Source organism: Homo sapiens, chromosome 11 (genome assembly GCF_000001405.40).
Source record: "Homo sapiens chromosome 11, GRCh38.p14 Primary Assembly".
Lineage (NCBI taxonomy): Eukaryota > Metazoa > Chordata > Mammalia > Primates > Hominidae > Homo > Homo sapiens.
The window spans coordinates 22,478,449-22,492,063 of NC_000011.10; the positions used below are offsets into that span (position 1 = coordinate 22,478,449).

The window sequence follows — 13,615 nt, forward strand, 5'->3', positions numbered from 1 at the left end:
AAGTAAATATTTCTGAGTTGGAATGGACCTCTTTGTAAGCAGAGATTATGGAGATCTATAGCCTGTTTGAGATTCTTGTCTTTCTCTTCCCATCTTCACTTGAGAGGGAATAAAGAAATTATCTTACCTTAATATAAGAAAAAAAGTCACTGCATCAGGGCCCAGGAAACTGTCCACTAATTACTTATGTAACCTTGTATTTACTCATAGATTCGGTTTTTCTTTATAAAATGAAGGGACTATATGAGATAAACCCTGAGATTCTTCTGTTCACTAAAATTTCACAGTCCTTAAGCATGCAGAGGAAATAGTGAATTTGAATCCCAGGTAACTTTCCCTGATCACTCAGCTGAGTCCCTTATATTTGCAGTATTTGGGGGAATATCTGTCAGCTTCCACACACATTTCCACACAATTCTTTTATTCTGGTTTTGGCTGACTTACTTCGGGGAGTCATTTTGCTGGCTAATTTAGGCCATGTCCTATTATCCAGCTGGGTGATAATAATAACAGCTACCACCTATATCACACTACATGCTGGGCACTATTTTAAGAACTTTAATACATTAACTGATTCAATCTTCATAACAGCTTTATGATGCAGACATTATTGTGATGCTTATTTTATAGATGAGTAAACTGAAGCAAAGTGTGGTTATGTAATTTGTCTAAGTTACACTACTATTAAGTGCCAGAGTAGCACTTCAAATCTAGACTGTTTTATAACCCCGCATATGTGTGCTAAAGTAATAAACTACACTCAGTATGGAGGGTAGAAGGAAAGATGGCAAAAAGAAGTCTACAACTAGAAGGAACAGAGCCAGGCTCCCAGATCATTATGTCAGGTATACAAGGACAGGTAAGCGATTTAAACACATGTGGGCAAGTGACCAGAATCTGAGTTCTATCCCATAGGCCAGTTTACTCTTGGAACTTTGTCTTTGGGATTGCCTGCCAAAAATGTGACTTTAAATATAAAACCAACAAAATGAAATCATTTCTTGGAGAACATTTCTGTGGTTCCCTGTGGCATGCCAAGTTCACAATATCTGTCTTAAATTTTCAAGCACATGTGTTGTAGTAATTTTATGGGGTAATGAGTTGGCTTCCATTAAAGATATTTTATTTTTACAGGGGCTGGGGCTGGAGAAACATTATGTGGCAGGCAGTGAAATATCTTGCTTTTTCAGATTGCTTTAACTAATCATCTCAGGTGGATTTTCTAGGAACTCTGGTTTTTAACCATTTGACCGCTATGGATTTCAGTGGGCTGTGACTGAGGCTTTGAATGTAATACCATGGAACATAGTGGTAAGGAATGGAGAAGTTCAGGATTTGGTGGAAATAATAAAAGTAGAGTGGAACAAATGTGGTACTTTCATTTCAAACTGAAAATTCGAATGTAATTTAAGTGCATTCCTTGGATTCAATAGAAAATAGTTTAACAAGTGGCAAGAGCTAACAAATGTAGGCCAGATATAATTTATCAAAGCTAGCATAGTCTCCCATTCCAGTTTATCACATGGAGGATGCTGCTAGTTATCTACCCAATATCTAACCTCTCCTTCTTTCTTATTGGCAGAGACCCAGTTTTGCTACTAAAATATTTTATTCCCCATATTACCTTACAAAAAAAGAGTTGGAGCTGTGACACATTTTTGACCAAAGAGATCTATCTGGAAGTCGACTGGGATTTCCTGGAAAGCAGCTTCTTCTCAATCCTCCTAACTGGTGAGTGGGACATCAACAGCTGTCTTATAACTATGAGCAAGAAACATTAGTTATGGTTAGCCACACAGAAAGATGGAGAGGTCTAGATTCTGGATTCATTGTGAAGCTGCTGTAGCTACATGTAACTACTCAGGCACAGAATTTTTTGTTTCCTAAAAAAAAAATATATATATATTTGTATGTGTACACAGTTGCCTAATTCTGAGCCTGTTAGAAATACTCTCACTGTGCTTTTTCCTGTTACCCACGCCCTTCTTGTGGCCTCAACTTAGGAGTTGACAGGTTTCCACCTAGTTGTGCCTGTGCCGAGGGATCGAGAGGGCTCATTCCTTCCATTGCAACTGCCATTCTTGATTATGATGGATTTTCTTGATGTTCTCAGAGAAAGAAAAGGAATGTAACCTGAGATATGATCACTTGCAACAATCTGTTTAATTTCAACATAATAAAGATATTAGTCAGGGTAAAAAATGAGAGAGAGAGAGAGAGAGAGAATTTTACTTGAGAGGGCAAGAGAACATGAAAGAGCTTGGTGCCTGATCCTTGCTCCATATTGGGGTACAGAAAATTCCATGGATCTTCTGATGGAAAGAAAGCTGTATAAGGCTGGTGGCAGCCTTCAGCATTCTGGTAATGGAATACAGCCCCATTCTCCATTGGGTAAAATGTCTCTGAGGCTAAATACCAGTAGGATTTGAGATCTCTGGTCAATAAATACTATTAGGGAATTTTGACAGAACTTTGAAGGGAGAGTTCAAGAGGTACCAGAGTTAAATGGATGTAATTCACACAGTTCATCTGATGTTACCAAGAAAAGACAAGCTTGAAGCTGAAGACCTTCATGTTGAGGATGACATATTAGAAGCTGAAGAACTGCATGTTGAGGGGGTCTTTGATGGCACTGTTACACTTAAACAAAATGACCTTGGGCTTATTTTTGCATGAGTCAAATAAATCCTTTACTTGTTCAAGCCACTGTTGGTTGGGTTTCCTATTATCTGGAGCTGAATTCATTTCATACTACTACATCCCCTCTTCTCTCTCAATACACCTGCTTGGTGAGTGCTCAATAGATGGTTAGTATGTCAGGGAAACATAACTGGGTGAAGGACATACTTCGTGATAGAGGAGTTTGACTAATTGTCTAAGCCTCTATAATCTCTGCTTTGTACTTATGTTTGTTAGTTTGTTTTGTCCAAAAAATTTTAGGCTGATTATATTTGGATGTGTTCTATAAATATCAGTTTCTTTATCAGTCTGAGGTGGGTTGTGACCTTCTAAGGAAATGGGGGCATTTTGATTTTCTAAAGACAGTTCAAAGAAGGTAGGATGAAAGGCAGAGAAAAAGGAAGGTGAAACAAAGATAGAAACAGTAAGCAATTGTGCAGGAAAGATATGCTTATCATGCTGTTATGATTTGAATGATTGTTCCCTCCCAAAGTCATGTTAAAATTTAATTGCCATTGTACAGACTTAAGAGATAACTAGGCCATGGGGAATTATTGAAGGTTGAATGCCTTCATAAAAGGGCTTTCAGGTGTGGGCTCTTTCTCCATCTCTCTCTCTGTTTTACCCTACCACCTTCCCAACATAGGATAGCCCTATCCAACATAGGATAGCACACCAAGAAACCATGTGCCAGATACCAGCACCTTGATATTGAACTTTGCAGACTCCAGAACTGTGAACCAAAACATTTCTGTTTATCATAAATTACTCAGTTTGTGGTATCCCGTTATAGCAGCACACAAAACAGACTAAGACACATGGTGCAAGTCATCATGTCATCTTATTTATTTATTTAAACAGTTCTTGAGGCATATTTTCTTAAAACTGCCACACAAAATTAGAAATCTGATACCCAAAATGGGTAAAATACCTTATCAATAAGTGTCAGAACCAGATTTCATATCCAGATAGTCTGATTCTAAGCATTCACATTTCCTGTGACCTTTGCCCGAGGAAGAGACATTATCTTTAGTACACCAGACATGATCAAAGCTACCCTTTGCTCTGGGAGCTGGGGGGATTATATCTATATCTACCAAGGCCATTTGCTATACAAGCAGCCTTGAAAATATAATGGGGAACAATGGCAGCCAGTGCCTTTGTTTGCAAACAGTATAAAAATGAGAAAGATCCATGGATAACAATGTCCCCAAAGCATTTACTTTTTGAATCCTCATTTTCTGATTCTTCCAGAGTCTTCTGTCTCACACACTTCTCAGCACAGTTCCATCTTTGTTCCCCTTAATTTATAGGTGCCTGGGGGCTTTCATCTTTTTACGTCTTCTTATCATCAGAGAAAAGTTTTTGAAACTCATTTTAGGCAATATATATATATATAATATACCTTCTGCTGTAATTCTAAGTTCCCTGAGGCCCTCTCCAGAAGCTGAGCAGATGCTGGTGCCATGCTTCCTGTGCAGCCTGCTGAACTGTGACTCCAAATAAACCTCTTTTCTTTGTAAATTACCCAGTCTCAGGTATTCCTTTACAGCAACATAAATGGACTAACACAGCAACAGAAGCATAAGCATTCATTCATTAGCTCATTTATTTATTCAGTGTTTATTGTGTAATTTCTACAGGTTGAGCATCGCAAGTCTAAAAATCCAAAGTCTGAAATGCTCCAAAATCAAAAACCTTTTGAGTACATGATGGTTAAAGAAAATGTTTACTGGAATATTTTGGATTTGGGATGCTCAATCAGTAAGTACAACGTAAACATTCCAAAATTGAAAAAAACCTGAAATCTGAAACACTTATGGTCTCAAGCACTTTGGATAAGGGATACTCAATCTCTGTATAGAAAGTACTAAGTGCTTTCATTTGAGACAGGGTAAGTTTTAGTAAGCCAACAAGGGAGCACTTCAGATACTGGTGAGTCTAAAGAAGTAAAAAGTATTAATTTCACTGGGGGTGAGATTTGGTGCTTTTACATTTTATGGTCAAGAAAGACCTCATTTAGAAAAATGAAGTTTTACCTAAAAACTCAAAGGATAAAAGAATCATCATAAAAAGAACCTGAAAAATAATATTTCATAAAAAAAGAGAGAATGTGTCTCTTTAAGTGAAAAGACCCTGAAAAATAAGTCTTAAATCTAAAGTGTATACTAGGTGAAACTGCTAAAGTTGTACACCAAACCAGTCAAATCTTGGAAATTTCATACTGGACTTGGAATATTTACATTTTACTTACTGGTTGAAAATCCCAAATCCCAAATGCTATGATGAGCATTTCCTTTATTGTCATATCAGTGCTCAAAAAGTTTTGGATTTTGAAGCATTTCAGATTTGGAGTTTTCAGAATTGGAATGCTCAACCTAGAAATGTTAACTGACATGCAGTTACTGCTGTTAAGAATTATGTGTGTTTCTGAGTATTTATTTACTTAATTTCATTGAAAATAAGTTTACAAATTCTGTGTCAGTAACTTTGAACTTGTTTCAATGCATAAAAATGTAAGCATCGCATACTTTTTCAAGGTTTTCTTTATTAGTAGTTTAAAAGTTTGAAGAAAATGGCTGAATGGTTTGCAAAACTCTGAGAAACTACAAAAAAAAATAGTGCAACTTTACAGGGCAGAACAAATAACCTATTAGACAAAATGAAACTCTGCAAGGATAATAACTGGAAATTAAAACAGGAGAAAGCAGATTATAAACAAATAAAAGTTCTAGATGTCAGCAAACTGTAGTCAACATGGAAGCATTTAACGTAGGAAATACGTGTTTCAATTGTGATTTCTATAAGGCTAAATACTGGAAGTAAACTATTGCATGAATAACTGCTAAGTTATATTAAGAATATGTATTTTACCTCTAGGGACAGCTATTTCATAATCTATTGTGCTACTATTAATTCTATGTGTTAATTTGACTGAACCATGAGAACTCAATATTTGGCTAAGTATTTCTCTGGGTGTATCTGGGAGAGTGTTTCTGGATGAGAATAACATTTGAATCAGTAGACTGAGTAAAGCAGATTGCTCTCCCCAAAGTAGATGGGCTTTGCTCAATCGGTTGAAGGCCTGTATAGAACAAAAATGAGTGTTGTTTCTCATTGTCTGTTGAAAACATCTATACATGTGGTATAAAAGAGTATTTAATATGAAATCTTATATTGTTTGTAATTTTAATCTAATCATTTGTTTCAGAAAGGAGAAGGAAATAGATTATTGACATTACTGACACATTCTCAAGTGTTGACAAAGTTGTATTTACAAACACTTATGTATCCCTTCTTAGTGATTCATGAACACAGAAATTCCTTTGAGAACTGATGAAAGCTATGAACACTCAAACAACCTACAAATGTTTTCTTGCAGTTTCAGTGCTTCACAATAACCCTGAAAGTAGTTCAAATATCTCAGTTTAAGAACTCCCACTTATTCCTCAGAATAAGTCTTAGAAATAAATATTCTTATACCCTTCTATCAATTAAAAAAATAAAAGATTAAAGAAGTAAAATAATTACTTGCCCAAGTTCACATAGCTAATGAGAAGCAATACTGAAACTAAATTCAGATCCACCTGAATCGAAGTTTGGTCACTTTTAATCATATCATACTTCAAATCTAGTTTTTCAGTTTTTGTTTTTATCACTTAATATCTGACTTTTTTAACTTGCAATTCAAGGAAGTTAGGAAAAGATCTGCTTCTTACTGTTGTCCTACAGCAATTATAATTTGAAATTTGACCCCTGTACTATCAAAATAGAATGATTAAAAATGCCTATTTGCTAGAAGGTTTTTTTTTTTTTTTTTTTTTTTGAGACGGAGTCTCGCTCTGTCGCCCAGGCTGGAGTGCAGTGGCGGGATCTCGGCTCACTGCAAGCTCCGCCTCCCGGGTTCACGCCATTCTCCTGCCTCAGCCTCCCGAGTAGCTGGGACTACAGGCGCCCGCCACTACGCCCGGCTAATTTTTTGTATTTTTAGTAGAGACGGGGTTTCACCGTTTTAGCCGGGATGGTCTCGATCTCCTGACCTCGTGATCCGCCCGCCTCGGCCTCCCAAAGTGCTGGGATTACAAGCGTGAGCCACCGCGCCCGGCCTGCTAGAAGGTTTTGACGTTTGAAAAGAATGCCTCATTAGCTGACACAGAAAGATATTCCTACTGCATGCGTTACTTCTATTTCACAAACTGGGCACTGGTGTTATGGTCTGATATAGCTATAAGGTAAAAAGGTTTATGGTAAGTTAATTAAGTTCAGGGTTTGGCCTAAGACATAAACTGCCTCTAGATGCAAAAGTGTATCCAAATTGTATGAAATTTTAAGTAGCACAATACAAATCTAAAAGCTCAATGAAACTCTCAGAATGCAGATGGAAATGATGTTTGGCTCTGGGAAATGGGGCCAGGTCCAAAGGGATTGTGAAGACTTTTGGGATTTGAGAAAGCACCATAGTGGCATTAACCTTTCCACAGTCGCTTAAAATTTTCTAATTGAAATATGAATGTGAAAGAACATCTCATGGTCTATGATTTTTCCTTTAAGGGAAAAAGTCTGGAAGGAAAATTTATAAATTAATGTAATTGTCAACATGCAATTTATTAAGAAAACAAATTTACATGTTACCTATATTATGATATCTAGTGTGTCCTTGGTCGTTAATTAGAACTGTATATTGTATTTGACTTCTAATTGGCCACCAGAAAAGAGTAATGCTTAAACATATTTTTAATTTAACATTTGAAAGAAATTAACTGTATAGTTTTGAATCAAAACAAAACAGTGCTAAAAAAAAAAAAAAGATGCCATATAATGAATGCTTCCATAAGAGAAAGTCACCACTGACTGTGTAATTTCTCTTGAGACCAAGGGCTCATGATCAATAGCTCATTTCAAAGTTGCTTTTTTAAAAAATGACCAGAAATACTTGGAAAATAAGCAGGTCATTTTCATAAAGGAATGTGGCATATGGAGAAGGAGAAGGAGAAAGTGCAAGGATTATGAACACCTACACTATTTCCTTCCTTATATGCTTCTTTTTCCTCACAGCTTTTTTAAGGTATAATTTTTTTTTTTTTTTTGAGACAGAGTTTCACTCTTATTGCCCAGGCTGCAGTGCAATGGCACAATCTCGGCTCACCGCATCCTCTGCCTCCTGGGTTCAAGCAATTCTTCTGCCTCAGCCTCCCAAGTAGCTGGAATTACAGGCATGCACCACCACACTCGGCTAATTTTGTATTTTTAGTAGAGATAGGGTTTCTCCATGTTGGTCAGGCTGATCTTGAACTCCCGACCTCAGGTGATCTGCCCACCTCGGCCTCCCAAAGTGCTGGGATTACAGGCATGAGCCGCTGCACCCGGCTTAAGGTATAATTTATAACATAAAATTCACTCATTTTTAAATATACAATTCAACGACTTTTAGGACATTTATAGAGTTGAGCAGCCATCACCAAAATCTGATATTAAAACATTTATATCCTTCCCAAAAGTTCCTTTGTGCACCTTTGTGATTAATTCCTAGTACCACAACTAGCTTCAGGCAAACACTGATCTATTTTCTGTCTCTATAGACTTGTCTTTTCTGGATATTTCATACAAATGTAATCATACAATATGTAGTTTTTTTGTGAGGGGCTGCTTTAACTTACCATGGCTTTGAGATTCTTCCATGTTGTGGCATAGACCAGTAGTTTTTTATGGCTATTATTCCATTGGATAGATAGACCACATTTTGTTTATGTATTCACCAGTTCACAAACATTAAAATTATTTCAAGTTTATAGCCACTGAGAATAATGTTGTTGTGACACGCACATAAATGTCTTTATATGTGTAAAATATATGTGTAAACATATATTTCATTTCCTTTTGGTAGATAAGTAGGGGTGGAGTTTCTGGATTGTATTTGTAATGGACTAAATTGTGTTCTGCCAAAATGTATATGTGACTACATTTGGAGATAGCATCTTTAAAGAGTTAATTAAGGTGACACAAGGTCATAAGAGTGGGACCCTAACCCAATATGACTGGTATCTTTATAAAAAGAGGAACAGACACTAGGAAGGGATGTGCACAGAAGAAAGGCCATGTGAGAGCACAATGAGAAGCCCAATGTCTACAATCAAAAAGGCATCAAGAGAAGCCAAAACTGCCAACACCTTGATCTTGGACTTTCAACCTCCATTACTGTCAGAAAATTAATTTCCATTATTTAAATCTCTTTGTCTGTGGTATTGTTATGATGGCTGTAGGAAACTAATTCAGTAAGTTTATGATTAACTTTTTAAGAAACCACTAAACTTTTCCAAACTGGCTGTGCCAGTTTTACATTTCCACCAATATGTGGGAGTTCCATTTTCTACACATTCTCACCATTAATAATACTGTCTTTTTTATATTATAGACATTCTAGTGAATGTGAAATGGTATGGCTTTGTAGTTTTAATTTGCATTTCCTAGTTATATGGATCATCTCTCATTCTTTGTTTGCCTCCCCACCTGCATGCACCAAGGAAAAACCACATGAGGACGTGGTGAAAGGCAACCAACTGCAAGCCAGGAAGAAAGCCCTCATCAAAACCAAATTGACCAGAACCTTGATCTTGGCCTTCCAGCCTTCAGAACCATGGGAAAATAAATTTCTGTTGCTTAAGCAGGCTAAGGTGTCTTGCTGTGGTAGTTCAAGCTGACAAATATATAGATTAATAGAAGATAGCTAAAATTAGACTCCACACCTGCATGTGGAATAGGCTGAGTTTGGGTTGCTAATTGGAGACTTTTTCATACCCTAAGACCCAATCAGAGTCAAGTTTTCTTGCTTTTTTATGGATTAGTTGTTTTTAGTCTCACTTACATGAAGGAGGCTACTCTAATGCTCTTCTAGCTTTACTCAGGGCCCCAAGTTTCAGCTTTAAACCACTGTTTTTCTATCCCTAAGAAATATACCCTAAGTACTAGATTATAGGGCCTATATCAGGGTTTTCTCCTTCCTATGATGTTACACGGTTAATAAAATTGCTTACCTTTTTCTTTTGAGTTCTCTCTTTTTTTTTTTCTAAAATTTGGGATTATTACTTCTTTTCCTGAGTACACCTATTCATTTGTGTGCATTTGTTGTTGCTATTGTTAACTTCTACTATAGTGGGTTTTTGAGGGGGTGAGGAGTCTGTGTTGGATATGTTATTCATGTTGCCAAAATCAGAAGTCTCTTCTTACATATTTGTGAATATACATTTTGTGCAAAATTAGCAATAAGTGCAATGCACCTTCCCTGGATCATTGTTGAAAATTCAATGTCTAATCCTATTATAATCAGCTTGTTTATTTCATTAAATTCAAAACCTGTAATAATTTCCATGAACTGAACATTTATGCTCCCCTAAAATTCATATGTTGAAATCCTAATTCTCACTGTGATGTGGTATTGGAGATGGAGCCTTTGGAAGGTAATTAGGACATCGCAGTAAAGCTCTCATAATCAAATTAGTACCCTCATAAGAAGAGACATGAGGGGATCTTCTTTCTTTGTGTCTGTGTCTCTCTCTTTTTCCGTCTCTATCTTTCTCTTCCTCTCCTCCTGCCATGCGAGGACTCAGCAAGAAGGCCACATGCAAACTAGGAAGAGGGCTACTGAGGTTTATTAGAACCTAACCATTTTGTTACCCTGATCTTAGACTTCCCAGCCTCCAGAACTGTAAGAAATCAATTAATATTTTTAAGTCACCTAGTCTATGATATTCTGTTATTGCTACCTAAACTGAGACAGAAATTATTACCAAGAAACAGGGTGCCACTATAACAAATACATAAAATTGTGGAAGCAGTTTTGGAACTGGGTAATGGGTAGATGCTGGAAGAGATTGAGGTGCGTGCTAGAAAAAGCCAATATTGGGATGAAGGGAATATTAAAGATGAATCTGTTAAGTCCTCAGAAAGAAAGGAAAATAACTATAGAGAAAGGGCACATCTTGAAGAATACGCAAATAATGACGTACAGAAAGTTGGTAGAAATATGGATGATAAAGGCCATTCTAGAGAAGTCTTAGATGAAAATGAGAAACATATTATTGGACAATGAATGACAGTTGTTCTTTGTTATAAAGTTTCAAAGAACTCAGCTGAAATGTGTTTGTATTCTAGCGTTTTGTGGAGAGCAGAACCTGTGAGTGATAGAATTGGATATTTAGCTAGAGAGATTTCTAAACAAAGTGTTCAAGGAGTATCTTGGTTCCTCTTGACTCCTTATAGTGAAATGAGAGGAGAGGGAAATGAATCGCAGATGAGATTGTTAAGCAAAAAGGAACCAGAACTTAAAGATGTTGAAAATTCTCAGCCTATCTATGTTGTAAAAATGAGAAGGTATGTCCACAAGAGAACACTAAGGGGGTAACTGACCAACATTTTGATAAGTTGATAAGTGATGGTATGAACCATGAACCTAATCAGCTATCTCAGCAGAGGCCAGGAATAGAGATGGGTTTATACAGCAAAGATACAGCCAATTTGAAGGGACAGAGAGAGTGGAATCACAGCCAATTTGAATTAAAAGGGACAGAGAGAGTGGAATAAATGGAAATAAAGGAAGACTTTCAAATTTCTTTGCTTCTACAGGACAGAATGATAAAACTATTCAGCTGTAAATTTGTACTATTCTTCAAAAAAATAAATAAAAAGAAGAAGAAAAAGAATTGCCCAAAGGCAATTCAGAGAGCATCAAGTTTTGACAGAGCAGAGCTCCAACAGAAGCCTGGCCCAGTGGGGGCAGGGATTTCTGAAGCTTCAGGGGTATGATCCTTTTCTGGTAGGGAACTAAGATACCAATTTACCATCTAGCATTGTATTACTGAGGAACTCCTCTTTCTAAAGAAGCAAAAGCAAAGCAAAACTCCCTTTGAGAAGAAGCAGAATTTTTCTAAACTAATGAAAAACTTTTAAAATTAGATTTATATCAGCTCAAAGAATGTAGCAAAAGTAATTGTTCCTTTATGGAAATCACTCTTCTATTGATGTCTTCTTAGGCAATTTTTTCTGCTTCCACTGAATTGCAGTCAATTACTCCCTGGTCTCTGAGCACTGCTAATAGGTAGGGAAAAACTGAAGAATGGATATAAGGAGGAAACTGAAGTCATAAATATGCCAACTGAATGTAAGCAGCATTAATTACAGGCACTCGTAGATGACAGAATATTAAAACTCCAAGCTGCTAGAGTTTTAACCTACATTCACTTTTGCATTAAAATATTTCACCATGTACTTTGGCAAGATCTGTATCACCTTACTCTGAAGGTATCTAGAGTTGGAATATCAGACTTGAGAGTCCGACTCTCAACCCTCTCATATATTGTGTTCTGTTGGGAGGTTTCCATTTCTCACACAGTCTGCTCACCAAATGGCAAGAGATGGTTAAACTGATATTTTCTTAAGCTTTTACGTTCTCCTGGAAGTGGTCATTATAGATTTATATCATACTGCACTTACGGTATAAAACATATAGAACGAATGATTTGTTTCACCTAAGTCAAACTTTAGGTGGGTAGTCCTCATTGTATAAGAATTCTTGAGGATGACATAATTCAGAGGGTAGAGGGAGTAGAAATCACATGAGCTTGATTGATATTCAGAAAGACAAGAGCTTTGTCGTTTGTCATTGTATGAAAACGTCAGATTCCTCACCTGTAGAATTGAGATACTGTCTCCCTCACAGGATTGTCATCAGAATTAAAAAATAGAGTAAATGTATTGAGCATTGAGGCCAGCCCTAAGAGCTCAATAAATGTTAATTTTCTCCTCAGCTTTTCTAAAATTTTGCATTAATTCACAGAATTTTACAACTATAAAGCTGAAAAGAACTTTGGACATCTTTGTAACACTTATTACTGGTGTGGAAATAGGGTAGGAGATATTGAGTTGGTCATGTTCATATAGAAGATGGCTTAAAGCCCCACTTCTTATTCCTTCCTAATATTCAGCTAAAGACTGATGGCTTTCTGCTTTTCTTCTTGTTGTTTAATAAAAGGGTAAGTCTGTGCTACCTCTGTGATATCAAGGAATTGTCTTTTTCTGGAGGATTTTAAAATCTATAATTTGCTGTTCATTATATTTGTTTGCCTTGTCATTATCTCCAGCCACTTGTCTGTACTTTTCCTATCTCTGTACTGTCCTTGTCATGCTGCTTGGTACTTCAAAGATAAACCTCTAACCCTCACCTCACCCCAGGTACAAAGGAAGTGCGGAAGTTAAACCTCTCCCCAACACACAGGCAGTAAAAGACCTTCTGTACTAGGGACACAAACAAAACCAACAGAAAACAACAAACAAACAACAACAACAACAAAAAAAAAAAAACAGAGGAAGAGAAGACTCCACAAAAGGTTAGACTTTCCAGATTTATGGGAGAAACGGTCTTTCATTTTCTAGGAGGACGCAAGTGAGCTTTTTATCTAACGGAAGCTCAGGAAACCGAATAGCTGGAAAATGAAGATCATTAATAATTTCTTCTTTTAAGAGGTGTGATTATAAAATTAAAGAATGAGTCATTCTACTGTTTAGTCTATGAAAGTAGGAACTGGTTTTTCTTTTGTTTCTTTTTCTCCTCCCCTCCCCAGAGGAACACACAGATGATTTAAGCAGCCTTCGATTACAACATACCTAAAATAATAAAGCAATTGAAGAGGGAAAAAAATCAGCCGAAGGTGTATACCCCCTCCACGCTGGGTGACTGTGGTATATTTCATCTTCGCATTCTAAATCAATGCTAAGCAAAGCACAGAAATGTTTACCTTTGTCTGATCTCTAATTCCCTAAATTTATGTGGAATCATGCACAGATGCGCTGGAAACCAGCCTGGAAAAGCCTGGCATTTTAATTGATCCCAGAGCTTCTTGCCTCACGGCTCCTGCTGTGATGAAGTCTGCTACTTGTTCCAAAG

At 36.8% G+C, this 13,615-nt stretch overlaps 1 long non-coding RNA gene across 1 annotated transcript in view; it reads right to left on the bottom strand.

Annotated features, from left to right (window-relative positions):
• The window catches only part of LINC01495 (long intergenic non-protein coding RNA 1495), a 46,348-nt gene extending 32,777 nt beyond the window's left edge, over positions 1–13,571 (bottom strand). Inside the window, exons 1-2 of the long non-coding RNA NR_120583.1 lie at positions 13,467–13,571; positions 1,625–1,761 (exon numbers count right to left, since the gene is read on the bottom strand). This is a non-coding gene — a long non-coding RNA (long intergenic non-protein coding RNA 1495). The remainder of the gene's footprint in view (positions 1–1,624; positions 1,762–13,466) is intronic.
• Positions 13,572–13,615: the final 44 nt, after the last annotated feature.